This window comes from Homo sapiens, chromosome 7 (assembly GCF_000001405.40).
Source record: "Homo sapiens chromosome 7, GRCh38.p14 Primary Assembly".
NCBI classification, from domain to species: Eukaryota; Metazoa; Chordata; class Mammalia; order Primates; family Hominidae; genus Homo; species Homo sapiens.
The window spans coordinates 16,273,296-16,289,021 of NC_000007.14; the positions used below are offsets into that span (position 1 = coordinate 16,273,296).

Sequence of the window (15,726 nt, forward strand, 5' to 3'; positions counted from 1 at the left end):
TGGCTCTCCCTGCCTCCCATCTTGTACCCATAAAAAACCCCAAGCTCCACTAGCAGAGTGATGGCAGAGGGGCAGCAGAGTGGAACAGCAGGGGCCAGAAGAGAAGCAGCAGCTGTCAAAGAGAAGCAGTTTGACTTCAGAGGGACAGCTTGAAGGTGGGACTTCAGAAGGACGGCTTGACGGTAGGACCACAGAGAAGAGGTCAGCAGGGGATAGCCAAACTCCAGGGGAAGACCACCTTTCCACTCCATCCCCTTTCCAGCACCGCATCCCACTGAAAGCCACTTCCACTCGTCAGTAAATCCTCCACATTCACCACCCTTCAATTAACTGATGCAGCCTGATTCCTCCCGGACACCGAACAAGAACTCTGGTACCAAGAGGGCTGGTGCAAAAGGTTGTCATCCTACCCTCCACTGAGCTGTTAAACACTTAAGCTGTTTGTAGACAGCAAAGGTAAAAGAGCACAATGTAACACACGTCCTCTGGGGCTTCAGGGGTCATGGATACCCTGCTAGATGTAGCCATGGAGCTGCATGAAGTTCTATTCCTGCCATCGCGCCCAGAAGGACTTGTCCTGGCCTCTGTACCTGCTCACCTGCATGCTCCCTGTCCCATGAGAGGTGGAGAGCTGTGGGCTGATTAAATGAGCCAACCCCTTAGCCAGTCCTGCGAAGGGGCCAGGGGAACTGCCCATTTCAGTACTACTCCTGACACTCCATAATCAGTGTTGTGGCTGTTTTTGTTTTTGTTTTTGTTTTGTTTTGTTTTTGAGACGGAGTCTCGCTCTGTCGCCCAGGCTGGAGTGCAGCGGCGCGATCTCGGCTCACTGCAACCTCTGCCTCCCGGGTTCACGACATTCTCCTGCCTCAGCCTCCCGAGTAGCTGGGACTACAGATGCCCACCACCACGCCCAGCTAATTTTTTGTATTTTTAGTAGAGACAGGTTTCACCGTGTTAGCCAGGATGGTCTCGATCTCCTGACTTCGTGATCCGCCCACCTCGGATCCCAAATTGCTGGGATTACGGACGTGAGCCACCACACCCGGCCTGTTGTGGCTGTTTCTAAGAGAAAGCATTCTCTTAAGTTTGTGTGGCATAACAGGTTTTTAAACTTTTAATTCTTTTTAACCAAATTTAGAAGTCAGGGAAGGCTTAGCAGGAACGATATCTCCTTTCAAGGTGAACCAAGATTCTCTGAGTAAAATAACAGGACACCCAAAGTTCAGTTTTAGAAGTTCTACATTAGCTCCTCATTAAAAAAAAATAAAAAGTCTAATTTATCTCCAAAAAGGAAGATATTAAATTAAGAAATTTTTGAGGAATGGTGATTTTCTTACTTTTGAATATATGAATACTTCTTAGTTTTATTATATGAAGGAAATCCCTAACTTCAAGCCAAACCTAATTTTTTAAAAATTCCAAATTTGCTATGTCTGTCTATATTTATAGACGAATTAGATACTTGAAATTAAAAGAGAAATTTAAGTGATCTTTAAAAATTATAAATGGCCAGGAGAGCACACGAACAATAAAGGGGAGAAAGATTCTGGAAACCTAGAAATATGATTTTAGTCTTTGAATCTCTGCAGACCCTTCATAAAAACAGAAAAAGCAAGGAGGATATCAAAGCCAAAAACCTATAGACATTATCTACTATAAAACCAATATTTGGGAGGCTGAGGCACGAGAATCATTTGAACCTGGGAGGCGTAGGTTGTGGTGAGCTGAGACCATGCCACTGCACTCCAGCCTGGGCAACTGAGTGAGACAGTGTCTAAAAAAAAATAATATTAGTGGGTAGGGATAAATTGGCAGCACATATAAAGACACACACAGTTTAAGAAACTGTAGAAAAAAATGGGAGTAAACCAAGAAAGACAGAAAACAACAAAATCATCATCAGATACTTTCTGGATACCTTAGCAGGCCATTCCATTCTGGGAATAGCAACAGAAACTAGGAGAAGCCTTTGTAGGCTTTAATTCAAAGTTGAAAACAAGGAAGCCACATGAACGTTCTCTGCTAGGGATAACTGGGGGTCTGGGTCCAAAGCACATTCAAAACCAATAAACAGAAGCACCGTAGTATGTTAAAGCACCAGCCTGAGAAGTCTAGATGGACCAAGGGAGGTGCACTAGGAATAAAGGAAAGAGAAAGTACAGGCAAAGGACGGCCACGGAGGTGTTATTTTGACTCATCCCTTCCTCCTAAAACTAGATAAAACTCTTCTACTTAAAAAGGAACAATAGGGCTAGGTGCAATGGTCATGCCTGTATTTCCGCCCTTTGGGAGGCCAACGTGAGAGGATCACTTGAGGCCAGGAGTTTGAGACCAGCCTGGGCAACATGTGGAGACTCCTGTCTCTACAAAAAGGAAAAAAAAAATTAGCTGGGCATTGCAGTGTGTGCCTGTGGTCCCAGCTACTCAGGAAGATGAGATGGGAGGATCGCTTGAGCCCAGCAGGCCAAGGCCAAGGCTGCAATGAGCCATGATAGTACCAAGACCCTGTCTCGGAAAAAAACAAAAACAAAAACAAACAAAAAATATATATATATGAATGACAGAAAGAAAGAAAAAAAAAGACTAAACAGCAAAATAATGTACCTACAGAAACCCATGCACATCAGAAAGACCCAGTCATAAAATAAATGAAGACTGTAACCCAATATTTAATAAGCTAAAAGAAATTAAGAAAATGACAGAACTATAAAAGTCAGACTTGGAATAACTTAGAAACAAGGCGAGAAAATTTAAAAAATATTTCAGAAATGAAGACTAAATTAGAAAAAACACAAAAGGTAATGACTGAACAGAAATAAAAGACGGGAAGTAAGAAAATTAAAAAGAAATTAAGAGATTAGAAAAACTCAGGAGAATGTAATAGCTGTGGATGGCCAAAGAACATGTAAGCTTCATCCAACAGGAATCTCTGAAGAAAACTGAAGTAACCAAACAGAAAAAAACTAAAGAAATAATGTCAAATAAAAAGATTCGAAACTACACAGAAGCATCCACTATGTACCTAGCAATATCAGCCAAAATGACTATAATTAAGAAAACTGTAGTAAAACAAATGGACTTTAAAGGAAAAGAATTATTTGAGCATCCAGGCAAATAGACTAAATCACTTATAAGACAAAGAAAGTCAGATTTTCATCACACTTGACCAAAACACTTTATGACAAAAGAAAATAGACTGGCATATTGAAGATACTCAACAAAAAATTACTGAATTAAGATTGCTTTTAATCTAGCCAAAACCACCTTGAAGATTTTGAGCAAAAGAATAATTTTATTCACATCGAAGAACTTGGGAATACTGTGCCCATGAGCCCTCACTAGAGCATCTATTGGAGGATTAGTTCCAGAAAACCAAAATGATTTTTAAGGTATCAACATAAGGATTGTAGTGGCTATCACATATATATTTACTTATATGACTAAGAATAAACAATTGTTTAAGGGAGATAGTAGGTAATGACATGAATGTAAGAATATATACAGTAAGAAAGTTCACTGTCATCTTTCAGCTATAAACTTTAAATTAAAGCATACTAATTCAAATTAGATTCTTTAGAAAGGAGGAGGTAGAAGACACTGGTTAATTTGTTAATTTTAACAACTCATGTATCCAGTACAGCACTGAAGTATGGGAACTAACAGTCTGTACTATCTAATACTGTCACACCACTCTGCCAACTTATCACTGAAAGTTTAATTATAGTTCAAATGCATTGAAAACGTACTGCATGCCAGATGCTTCTCTAAGCACTTTAAATATATTCATTTTATTCAACTCACCCAGCAACTTTAGAACATAGATGTTATTAACAGTTTCAATTTACAGATAAGGAAATTAGGAAACAGAGCTAACATCCAAAGTGCAAGCAGTCTGATAACAGAGCCTGTTCTCTTTCCAACTGTGCTATCATGATAAAATTACACAGCTAATGGGCATGGTGGAGGCTGAGGCAGGAGAATCACTTGAACCCAGAAGGTGGAGGTTGCAGTGAGCTGAGATCACACCACTATACTCCAGCTTGGCAACAGAGTGAGACTCCATCTCAAAAAAAAAAAAAAAAAAAAAAAATTACACAGCTAAAATCAACTTTTACCCTCTACTTTTGATGAGAATTATGTACGTTGTCAAAAGGTCATCACATATTGAACATAAACTTGGATTAGAAGTTATATATTTTAATGAAAACAGAAATTAATTAAAATGTACAAAAATAAGTGTGGCAAAGAAAATACTTGAAAGTTGTCATAAAAATGATTAATGGCAGTGCTTGGTGGTAAAATTATAAAGAGTTCCTATAGACACCCTCACACTTATTGCATCTTCTATTTGCCTAGCCCTAATATTAGATATGAGTTTAACTAGGAAGTTGGTCACTTCACATTTACTCGCTTTTCCAATATCATGATTATTTCACCTTTTGTCATCATGTCTCTTATTTCCCCCTCCCTCTTCATAATCTCTCTAATCTTCACAGAGTCTACAAACTTTACTAAGCATCTAGCATGTGCTGGCCACTATGCCTCTTAAGACAAGTCTCAGCCTTATGCTGGGGAATGCAGGCATCAGGCAGGGCTTCCTAAAGGTCGTCACACATGGACACTGGAAAAAAATCCACAAAAGGAATGAAAAGGGGGATGGAGTATGTTTCAGATCCTAAGTGCTGGCAGACCAAAGGATCTCATTGAGGCAAAATAATAAGAACATTATGATTAAGGGATTTTTATGGGTTTTTTTCCAAGAAAGATATCTTTATACTATAAAAGTTTTTGGCAATCAAAGTTTATCAAACTCAGTCTTTGAATACTTACATTTAATTCACTTTTCAGCACTTCTTCAAGAAGATGACCTACATGTTTGTTATCTTCTTCTGTATCCATAACTACACAAATCTCTTGGGAAATTCTCTCTGAAATTAAAAAAAAAAAGTTTTAAGTTTCAAACAAAACATGTAACAAGGCCCTAGGATGCTGAAACATAAACTTACCTGATGTTCTTAGCTGTTGACCAAGAATAGGGAGGTTTTGATTTCAGGCCAAGTGGAGTAATCTGTGTACACACTGAGATGGCCTTGATTCAGTTTACTACCCAAGTCCATAAACCTATCCATTGAACACTTTGTGGGTGAAGAACCAGCCATTGTGCAACTAACAGAAATAAGATATTTTAGGATGCATTCGGAAGGGAGTAGAGGTGACAACCATTTGAAGTTCAACAATTCAATCTTTCCATGTTTATAAGGAGTCTCCCAGAACCTAACAGATTTCCACTTCTTAAACAGATTCACTCTTTAGGCCATAGGTTATCTCCTGTGCACAGATTCAATGTGCCATCCAGTGCCTTGGTTAAGTACATTGTGTTCCTTGACATTCCTCTAGATTTTCAATTCAGTACAATTAAGTTCCTGTTTTGACTATTGCACTAACAAGTAAAAACAACTGAAAGAATTTTCTTCACATCTGGAAGACTTGAGATGGTCCGATTTAAAATTTATAAACTATGTAACACAGTGATAGTCACCTCTGGAAACCCTGGATGCATTCTTCCAAAAGATATGAAGTCCTCCTCTATAGCAGGCAAATCAGAAGGTACCCTGATTCAAGGTAACTTGACCTCTTGTTATCATGATACAAAGTTCAACCATGGGCTGAAATCTGAGTAGAATTTTTCTTAATCCACATCTTTCTGTCTTATAATTAACAGCGGTTCTTCAAAGTTTCAGGCATCCTATATGGAAATTGCCTATATAGCTGCCAGTTAAAGAGCCATTACATAGCATTATATCATGGATAAAGAAAACAAAGCCTGATTTTAAGATAGGATTCCTGAATCAAAAGTATGTTTGATTAACTTTTGACCCAACTGCTTCTTACCTGAGCAACTCTGTAAAATAGGGCCCATATAAATCACTGATGTAGCAATAGCTACTAATTATTTCAAGCAAAGCTAGGGAGAATAGGTTATTGAAAATAATACCACCAGTTAATAGCACTGCTATTACTACCTCCTACTTAACAAGAATATTATGCATTCCAGGAGCTATATGGTATATATGAATACTAATGCTCATGATGACCCTACAAGATCAGTATCATTCTGAATCTATGTAACAGGTTCAGGAAGCTTGAATTCAGAGAAGTAATTTGCCCAAGACTACAGGGACATGAGTAGTAGAAAAAGGATTCAAATCCAAAAAAATAAATCTGTAATTCTAAGTTACGTGGTGCTAATAAAAGTCAACATAATTAAAAACACAAATGAATGTTTTAGACAGTAAATGCTACAGAACATCATTGTGGAGAGAGAAACTGGAGACAAGATCAGATAACTCTATAATACAATGAGCTAGGAGCTCACTCTTGAAAGGGGAATAGATTTTGCTTAGGAGTGGGAGAAAGGAGCTTTGCAAACAATCAAAATGATAAGAAGGAAACAACATTTTAATGTGTATTGAGGTAGGTAGTCACATAAACGTAGTGTGACCAACAACCAAGAGAATTACTTGAAAGCTATATTAGTTTGTTTTCACACTCCTGATAAAGATATACCAGAGACTGGGCAATTTACAAAAGAAAGAATTTTATTGGACTTACAGTTCCATGTGGCTGGGGAGGCCTCACAATCATGGCAGAAGGTGAAAGGCACATCTCACATGACAGCAGACATGCGTCTGCTTATGCAGGGAAGAGAAGAGAGCTTGTGCAGGGAAACTCCTCTTTTTAAAACTATCAGATCTCATGAGACTTACTCACTATCATGAGAACAGCATGGGAAAGACCTGCCCCCATGATTCAATTACCTCCCACTGGGTCCCTCCCACAACACATGAGAATTCAAGATGAGATTTGGGTGGGGACACAGCCAAACCATGTCAAAAGACATAAAATGATTTAGTAGTGAGTTCTAAAGTGGGATACTTAGTGAGATCAAATCAAAGGGATCCCTTGCTGTCTTGGACACTAGAGTGTCCTAGGACTTTCATTTAGAAGTTAACTCATAAAAGCAGTGGCTTTTGAAAACAGAGTTAACCCAAACTTATACATCATGAAATTACATGTTTAGAGAAATCTGGGCTTTGTAATATCTTAGGCTAAGGCCCCAACAGTTTTATTTCTGAAAGCTCCTCATGAAAACATTAGGACAATCAAGAAATTTAATGTACAAAGTAATCTGCAAATGCAACAATTAATGTGATGGTGCCACAAACATTTATATAAATTTGTAAAATAATGCATAACATTAAGAATAATTTTTAAATACAAAACAGCATATGTAGGTTTTCCTTGCCTTGTTTCATCATATATCCCTCTTTATAAAATTCTAAGCGCTACCCAACATGTGTACAGTAATAAAACTGATATATTACTACCAACTTACAAAAATGAAATATTTTTAAAAAATGAATTCAAAATCTATTTGCTGGCCAGGCACAGTGGCTCACGCCTGTAATCCCAGCACTTTGGGAGGCCAAGGTGGAAGATCACTTGAGGTCAGGAGTTCAAGACCAGCCTGGGCAACATGGTGAAACCCCATCTCTATTAAAAATACAAAAATTAGCCGGGCATGATGGTGCACTCCTGTAGTCCCAGCTACGCAGGAGGCTGAGGCAGGAGAATCGCTTGAACTCGGGAGGCAGAGGTTGCACTGAGCCAAGATCACGCCACTACACTCCAGCCTGAGTGACGGAGTGAGACTCTGTTTCAAGGGAAAAAAAAATCTATTTGGCATTTATCCTATGCCATGTTTCAGTTACCCTAAATAGAACACATTTGTTGTTTAGGAGTCCTTCATTGCCACATAAATTTTTACCATCATTTCCACAAAAACATCTGTTGAGTTTGGTATAGAAATGACATCTTTAAAATAACAAGCCTTCCAAATGAACATGATTTGTCCCCTGTGTCCTGAAATCTTTGTTTCAATAGTGCTTTGTAGTTTCCAGTGCAGACCCCTTTCATCTTTTGTTAGATTTATTCTTGTTTGTTGACACCACTTATAAATTGATTTTTAATTTCCTATTTGTTGTTATGTATAAAAATACATTTTGATACAGACCTTGTATAGTCAGTAACCTTGCTACATTTACTTATAAACTGATGTTTTATAGATTTTAACTTCTTGGTATATACAAACATGCTGATGAGTGATAAAGTTTTATTTCTTTCCAATCTATAATTTTATCTGATAATGAAAAATTTTAAATATTGGCTCTATGCTCATGGAAAAAAAAGTTAGCCTGTAATTCTACTTACTTATAAGGCCCTGTCATATTGTCATTAAGTAATTATACTATTCGCACATAATGAGTTGGTAAGTGTTTTTCCTACTCTCTAGAAAGTGTGCAAGATTGGTGTCATGTCTTCTTTTGAGTGGTTTTGTAGAATTCACTGGTAAAAGCCAACTGCTTCTTTGTGGGAGAGCTTTTAATAAAAATTCAGTATCTTAAATTGATGAATGATTATTCACATTCTCTATTTTCTGTCTCAGGTTAGTAAGGTGTATTTCCCTAAGGATGTGTTCATTTCATCTAAATTCTTATTAACAGTAGCATAACGTTGTTCGTAACATCTTAATATCTGTACAATTGTATTGATTCTTTTTCATTTCTGATACTGACTGAGCATTCAATATTTTTCATAATCACTCTTGCCAAGGTCTTACCAGTTTTATTACTGTCATCCGAGGAAATCATGATTGATTCTGTCTTATATGTTTGTTTTCTAGTTTATGAGTTCTTAACATTTTCTTCAGTATTTTCTTCCTTCCACTATCTTTTGAGTTTTGTTTGCTGCTTCTCTTTTTAAAAATGTTTAAGTTGCTGACTCTCTTCCTTTTTTCTATTTATATTTAAGGCTCTAAATTTTCCTCTAATAACAGTTTTAGCTGTATCTCAAACACTGTGATATTTTCACTCAATTTAAATGACTTCATATTTAGTTTAAAATATTTCATTCCTTTTCACTCGCTTTCATTTAGAATCATATTATTAGAAACATCTAATTTCTATTGTGGTTTCTTATTTCCTCTATGGATTATGTAGAATTTTATTGTTTTTATTAGAATGCTGTGTAACAAATTACTATAAATTTGGTGGTTTAAACACCACCCCATTAAGTAGTTCACAATGCTACAGGTCAAGAGATGGAGGAGGAGAAGGAGAAGAAAGGGTGACGGAAAAGGTGAGAAGGGAGTACATGCACAGAAATGATAAAGTAAATGAGGCAAAATGTAAACAACAAGGTAGGTAAAAGACAGGGAAGCTATTTGTGTTATTCCTGTATCTTTTAAGTTTGAAAGTTATTAAAATAAAAAAGCACCCTCTCCTAAAAACAAAAATTAAGAAAAAATATGTGAAGCTATATTAATAGGAGACTTTAAAGTTCACCTCTCTTAAGTGAGCAAAACATAAGGATGTAGATTCGAGGTAAAATAACATCATAAGAAATATGGTGGATCTGTTATTGTGTTGGTTTCTATATTGTCAGCTAATCTCAGCTATTTGCATTCCACAGTGGTCTGCATCTGACAGGCCAATTTCTTACAGTGTCTATGGACGCAATCAATATGTCCTTTACTACTAATGATAAATTCTCAATCTGTCTACATTCAAAGATTAGACCACATACAAAATCATCATCAATTTCAACTGGTTGCACATCAGAATCAACATAAATATCTTGTTTTCCTTTTATATTTTCAAATACATATGCCTAGTGCACATCAAACAAGATACTAGCCTATATTTTTGTCCAAAAGTGATTCTGATGTATAGCCAGATTAAAAACCTCTGCTTAGCTATTGCACTGATTTTTTATGATGTGGGGATTACAAAAGGGTCTATCATATATAGAACCTTTATAAATATGGTTTCATATATATGATACAACATTTATATTTTATATATGTATAAATAGATAGGATCTACTGATCTACCATATATATATATATAAATGATACTATCTATAGAGATCTACCTATTCATACCTATATTGTATCATATATGTATTTTATATGTTATGAAAGTTATTTAATAACTTCCCAACTTAAAAGATACAAGAACACAAATAGCTTCCCTTTTATCTACCTAGATTCACTAATATATCACATATATATCATATATGATATATATGACACTATAAAGATGATACTGTATCTATGGGTATAGATACGTAGATCTATATATATAAAAATGATACTATCTATGTGTATATATATATCTATAGATATACTATATATGTGTGTGTGTGTGTGTTTATATACAGTAGGATACATACATATCCTACTATAGCTTATTACCTGAAATGGAATAATTTTGGGGGTAATTTTCCAGTTGTCTTTAATCTTCTGTGTGGCAATAGGAGGATGGTGAGTTTAGTGAGATAGAGCTGCATTCAGTCGCCCATTGCACAGAGACTTTGATATTTCTGATATAAAACTATTTTAAAAACCCAAACCCACACAAATACTACTCTTATCTGCATGTCTCACTGGGTTTTACAATTAAGCAATCTCTAACATTTATAAAGGTGATATTAAATAAGGTAACATATTTAATAACTACAGATATAGGATACTTGATAGGCATTCAATAATATTTGTTAAATTGAGGGAAATACAATTTTTAAAATTTTAAACAATTTCAATTCTATATTGGAACAGATGCTGAAAGTAGCATATTGATACTTTGGCAGCACTTTGCATATGTGAAATGAGAAGAGACCAAAGAACGATTTCTATGCAGAGTCAAATTTTCTTTTCTTTTCTTTTTTAAAAGATTATTAGGAAGCACACATCTGTAAAAGGACAAATCAAGGGCAAGGAGATGGACTTGAAAAGTCTTTTCATTTATTGATGCCTTCAGTGTGTCAGGCATTGTCCACTCAAAATTGAATAAGAAGTGACCTCTGCTATTAGTGAATTTTCCAACTAGTACAATGATTTTAAGATTCATCCCTCAGTATAATAAAATATTGTCATTTTAAAAATAGACATATATAAGGGGAAGGCAGGAGATGTGTGTAAAAGACTACACTTGGAGATTTTAATAAGGATTAGATAATGTGTAAAACTATTTCTAGTGCCTGGTACAAGAAAACACCTAATAGATGACAGAATTATTGCTGTTATGGACACATACATTCAATAAGAACATAAATTGAAATAACTTTGTCCGTGCAAAATATGATCAGTTTCTGACTTCAAATTAATCTCTTTCTTATGGTCTTAATATTTCAGGGTTTGGTAAACAATCCATATCAACTGCATCCCACTAAGGCTTTGTTTCAAATTTCACCAAACGTGCCATAATCATATGTGACAATGGAATATACATTTTGAGTAATACACCCATGTTGGCATCTCTGATTTGCTTTAAAACAGATGCCCACTCGTTCTCATTGTTTACATCTTAGTTTATCTACTAGGATCTAGGCTGAAGCATTTTATGCAATTGCTACTGATAATTTGAAAAGCATGCTGCACTGACAATCTTAATTGTGGATGGCAATTAAGATTGTCTCAAAAAAAACAGTAATGACTGTACTTGTACCACGTGTTTGGAAGTTCAGAATAGAAAAAATATATAACTATGGGAGCAGGGCTCCAATAAATTAATTTAACCTCCTCAATCCCAGAGTTATTCGAGGATCCCCAAACTAAATGAGAGGAGAAAAGGCACACAAAATATTTAAAATTAATTTTTTCATGAAGCACAAAATTCTTTCCAAACATATGATTAATACTGATAATTTTCTCAAAGAAAACAAAGTACATAACAACTACCTTGAGGTTAATGAAATCAAAACAAAAATAGAAGCCTTCAGAATTCTTAATCTTCTGTTTTATTAATAAAGCACTTCCTAGAAAATTTCAGAGGTTGAAGTAAAAATATTGAGGGGAACCACAAAATCATTTTACAACCCAGAATTGTACAAATATAATAATCTAGTCTTTTGTCTCTCCCTGAAAATAGACTGGGAATAAATTATAAATTATTTAGATTTAACATTAAATGATACATGACCTGTCAACTTGACTGATATTAGACTGATATTAGCCTCTGAGTTTTAGTTTTTACACTATCCTATTTTTTAAGTAGCTTCTAAAAAAATTCCTAAAAGGCCAGTGGCAGATGGCAAAATATTGATGTCATAACAAGTAAGGTGCCCCCAAAATAATTTCAACATATACTCTGATTTATAATGAATAACTCTTTTTTTTGTCTACAGCATTTAAAGGTCACATAGTTTGATGTGATTTAACAGAGAGAAAATTCATGCCAGAATATAAGAAAGTCTATAGACTTATATTGAAAACCGTAAGCACTAGTTAAGAAGCCCAAATTTTTCTGTTAATACCTCAGTCAATGTCTGAGAACCTCTAAATGGTAAAGGTATGTATATAATTGTCAGTTAAAATTATGTTGGCCAGGCGCGGTAGCTCACGACTGTAATCCCAGCACTTTGGGAAGCTGAGGTAGGTGGATCACCTGAGGTCAGGAGTACAAGACAAGCCTGGCTAAGGTGAAACCCCATTTCCACTAAACATACAAAAAATTAGCTGGGCATGGTGGCGCATGCCTGTAATCCCATCTACTTGGGTGGCTGAGCAGGAGAATCGCTTGAACCTGGGAGGCAGAGATTGCAGTGAGCCAAGATTGCACCACTGCACTCCAGCTTAGGCAGTAAGAGTGAAACTCCATCTCAAAAAAAAAAAAAAAAAAATATAAATATATATATATATATATATATATATATATATATATAATATTTAAAAAAAAAAATATATATATATATATATATGCCAAAAAGAAACAATGTACAACTTAATTTTCCTGGCTCTGATGGTTAATTTGTGTATCAACTTGACTGGACCACAGGGTGCCCAGATATTTGGTCAAATATTAAGTGTTTCTGAGAAGGTGTTTTGGGATGAGATTAATATTTAACTAGGTAGAATGAATAAAGCAGATGGCTTTTCACAGTATAGTAAGCCTCATCCAATCAAATGAAAGCCTGAGACATCCACTCTTCAGATTTTGGACTTACCAGCCTCCATAAGTTCATGAGCCAAATGTTTATCTGTATTCATATCTATATCTCCTCTTTGGTGTTTCTCTGTAGAACTTACACGGGCAAATGTCTAAGCATTCTTCACCAGATAACTAATAATTCCCAGGTTCTCATCATAGGATTCCTACCTCTTCTCATGCTATACAAAGCAATCAACTTATACCTTACTCATCAATTCCTACCAATTTCCTGAACCAATTTCCTAATTCTCCAATAAGGTCCACCTCAAGTACCATCTGTTTTAATAACTATAGCCTGTGTTTTAGATGTATTTTGGTGTGTATGTGAGTTGGCTAGGAAAAGGAATGCACAGGCAACAATCATCAAGGAGACTTTCAAAACTACAAAAATTCCTATTTCTAATACATAAAAGTATCTCTCTCAAATATATATCAACACAAACCCAGCATTCTCCTTCTACTCAGGTAGAAATCACTGCAGTATTGAATCTAAGTATTCCTGAGGAAAGGCTTTTCAGTATAGGGTTTCAGAAAAAAACAAAGAAATCTATATGTAATACAACCCTTGTAAGTTTATTCAGAGCTGATATCTATGCATTATGCACCAAAAGAGCCATACCAGTTCCTTATAGCCAATAATCATTTCAATAGTCAGCAGATGCATTATGATTATTTAGTGCTCATGTCATACTATATATTTTTAATACTGCCTTTGCTTTTTATTGTGGTAGATACTTTTATATATTTTACCTAATGATTACAATAAAGCAGTATGAATTATTTTCCCCATTTTATAGATCAATAAAAGGTGTCTATAAAGCAAGTAAATTGCCCAAGTTCACAGGCATAAAATTGTCAACTTTAAGATTTCTAGCTGAAATCTATGTGAAGTTAGCATCCTGAAAGATTTTTTTCCTCTAACACTGTTTTGTGTTTTGATTTTACTTTGATTATAGTTTCTATATTACAGTATATTTTTTGTCCTTCTCTTCCACAAGATCACAAACTCCTGAACTCTGCTTATGATTTCTCAGTATCATCCCAAGCTTTGGAACACAGTACCAAGAAGATATTCAAGACTTATTTTCCAGGCTCTGTACTAGGATCATGAGTAACACACATTGTTATGGATTGAACTGTGTTTCCCCCAAAATTAGCATGTTGGAATCCTACCCACCAGTATACCTCAGAACGTAACTTTATTTGGAGATATGGTCTTTAGGGAGATGATTAAACTAAGATGAGGTCATTAGGGTAGGCCCTTATAGGAAAAAGAAATATTGGCTGGGCACGGTGGCATGTGGTGGCTCACACCTGTAATCCCAGCACTTTGGAAGGCCAAAGCGAATGGATTGCTTGAGGTCAGAAGTTCAAGACCAGCCTGGCCAATATGGCAAAACCCTGTCTCTACTAAAAATACAGAAATTAGCTGAGCGTGGTGGTGTGTGCCTGTAATTCCAGCTACTTGCAAGACTGAGGCATGAGAATCACTTGAACCTGGGAAGCAGAGGTTGCAGTGAGCCAAGATTGTACCACTGTACTCCAGCCTGGGTGAAAAAAAGAAAGGAAGGAAGGAAGGGAGGGAGGGAGGGAGGGAGGGAGGGAAGGAAAGAAGGAAATAAATATGTACACAGACATCTACAGAGGGAAGACTATGTATAGACAAAGGATGAAGAAACCACCTACAAGGCAAGGAGAGAGGCTTTAGAAGAAATGAAACCTACCAAAACCTTGATCTCAGACTTCTAGCACCCAAAGTTGTGAAAAAATAAATTTTGGTTGTTTGAGCCACCCAGACTTGGTACTTTGTTATGGCACCACAGGCAGACTAATATATACATTTCCTTACATCAATTTAAATAAAAATTGGTGTTAAACAATGACTGTTTAAAAAAGAAGACAGAGGTAGAAAGATCAAGAAATTATCACTGAATTCTTATTTTAGAGAAATAAAAAATACAAACATTTTTCTTTCAAGCCAGTAACAACTATCAATTAAGTCAAGCTAAAATATTTATTTTAAATCTATATATTCTAAAAAAAAAATAAAACAAGCCTTAAAAAATATCTTTAACATAGTGTAATTCCAACTTTATTAGGATGTAACATAACAAGCTGATGATGCAACCCAAAGAATTACAAAAACAAAAACCCAAAATTTGTAGAAGGAAAGAAAGATCACAACTAAACAAAATAAAGACTGAAAACACAATACAGGCTGGGCACAGTGGCTCACACCTGTAATCCCAGCATTTTGGGAGGCCAAGGTGGGTGCATCACCTGAGGTCAGGAGTTTGAGGCCAGCTTGGCCAACATGGTGAGACCCCCATCTCTGCTAAACATACAAAAATTAGCCAGGCATGGTTATACATGCCTGTAATCCCAGCTACTCAGGAGGCTGAGGTAGGAAATTGCTTCAACCGGGGAAGAGGAGGTTACAGTGAGCTGATATCGCACCACTGCACTCCAGTCTGGGCAACGGAGTGAGACTCTGCCTCAAAAAAAAAAAAAAAAAAAAAAAATCCCCAAAAACAAAAAACAAAAACAAACCAAAAAATACAAAGATCAACAAAATGAAGTTTGGTTGTAAACCACCCAAAAATAATAATCATCATCAATAAACCACTAAACAAAAAAAAGAGCCACCAAATAAAGTGAGAAACAAACAAGGAGA

At 35.9% G+C, this 15,726-nt stretch overlaps 1 protein-coding gene across 4 annotated transcripts in view; it reads right to left on the reverse strand.

Moving 5' to 3' along the window:
* CRPPA (CDP-L-ribitol pyrophosphorylase A) overlaps window positions 1–15,726 on the reverse strand; it is a 334,014-nt gene that overhangs the window by 185,771 nt on the left and 132,517 nt on the right. For all 4 annotated transcript variants that reach the window (NR_160656.1, NM_001101417.4, NM_001368197.1 and 1 more), the window contains one exon: window positions 4,834–4,931. Coding sequence is in view for 3 of the 4 variants with exons in the window: in NM_001101417.4 (NP_001094887.1) it covers window positions 4,834–4,931 (98 nt within the window). In the remaining variant the exon portion in view is untranslated. The remainder of the gene's footprint in view (window positions 1–4,833; window positions 4,932–15,726) is intronic.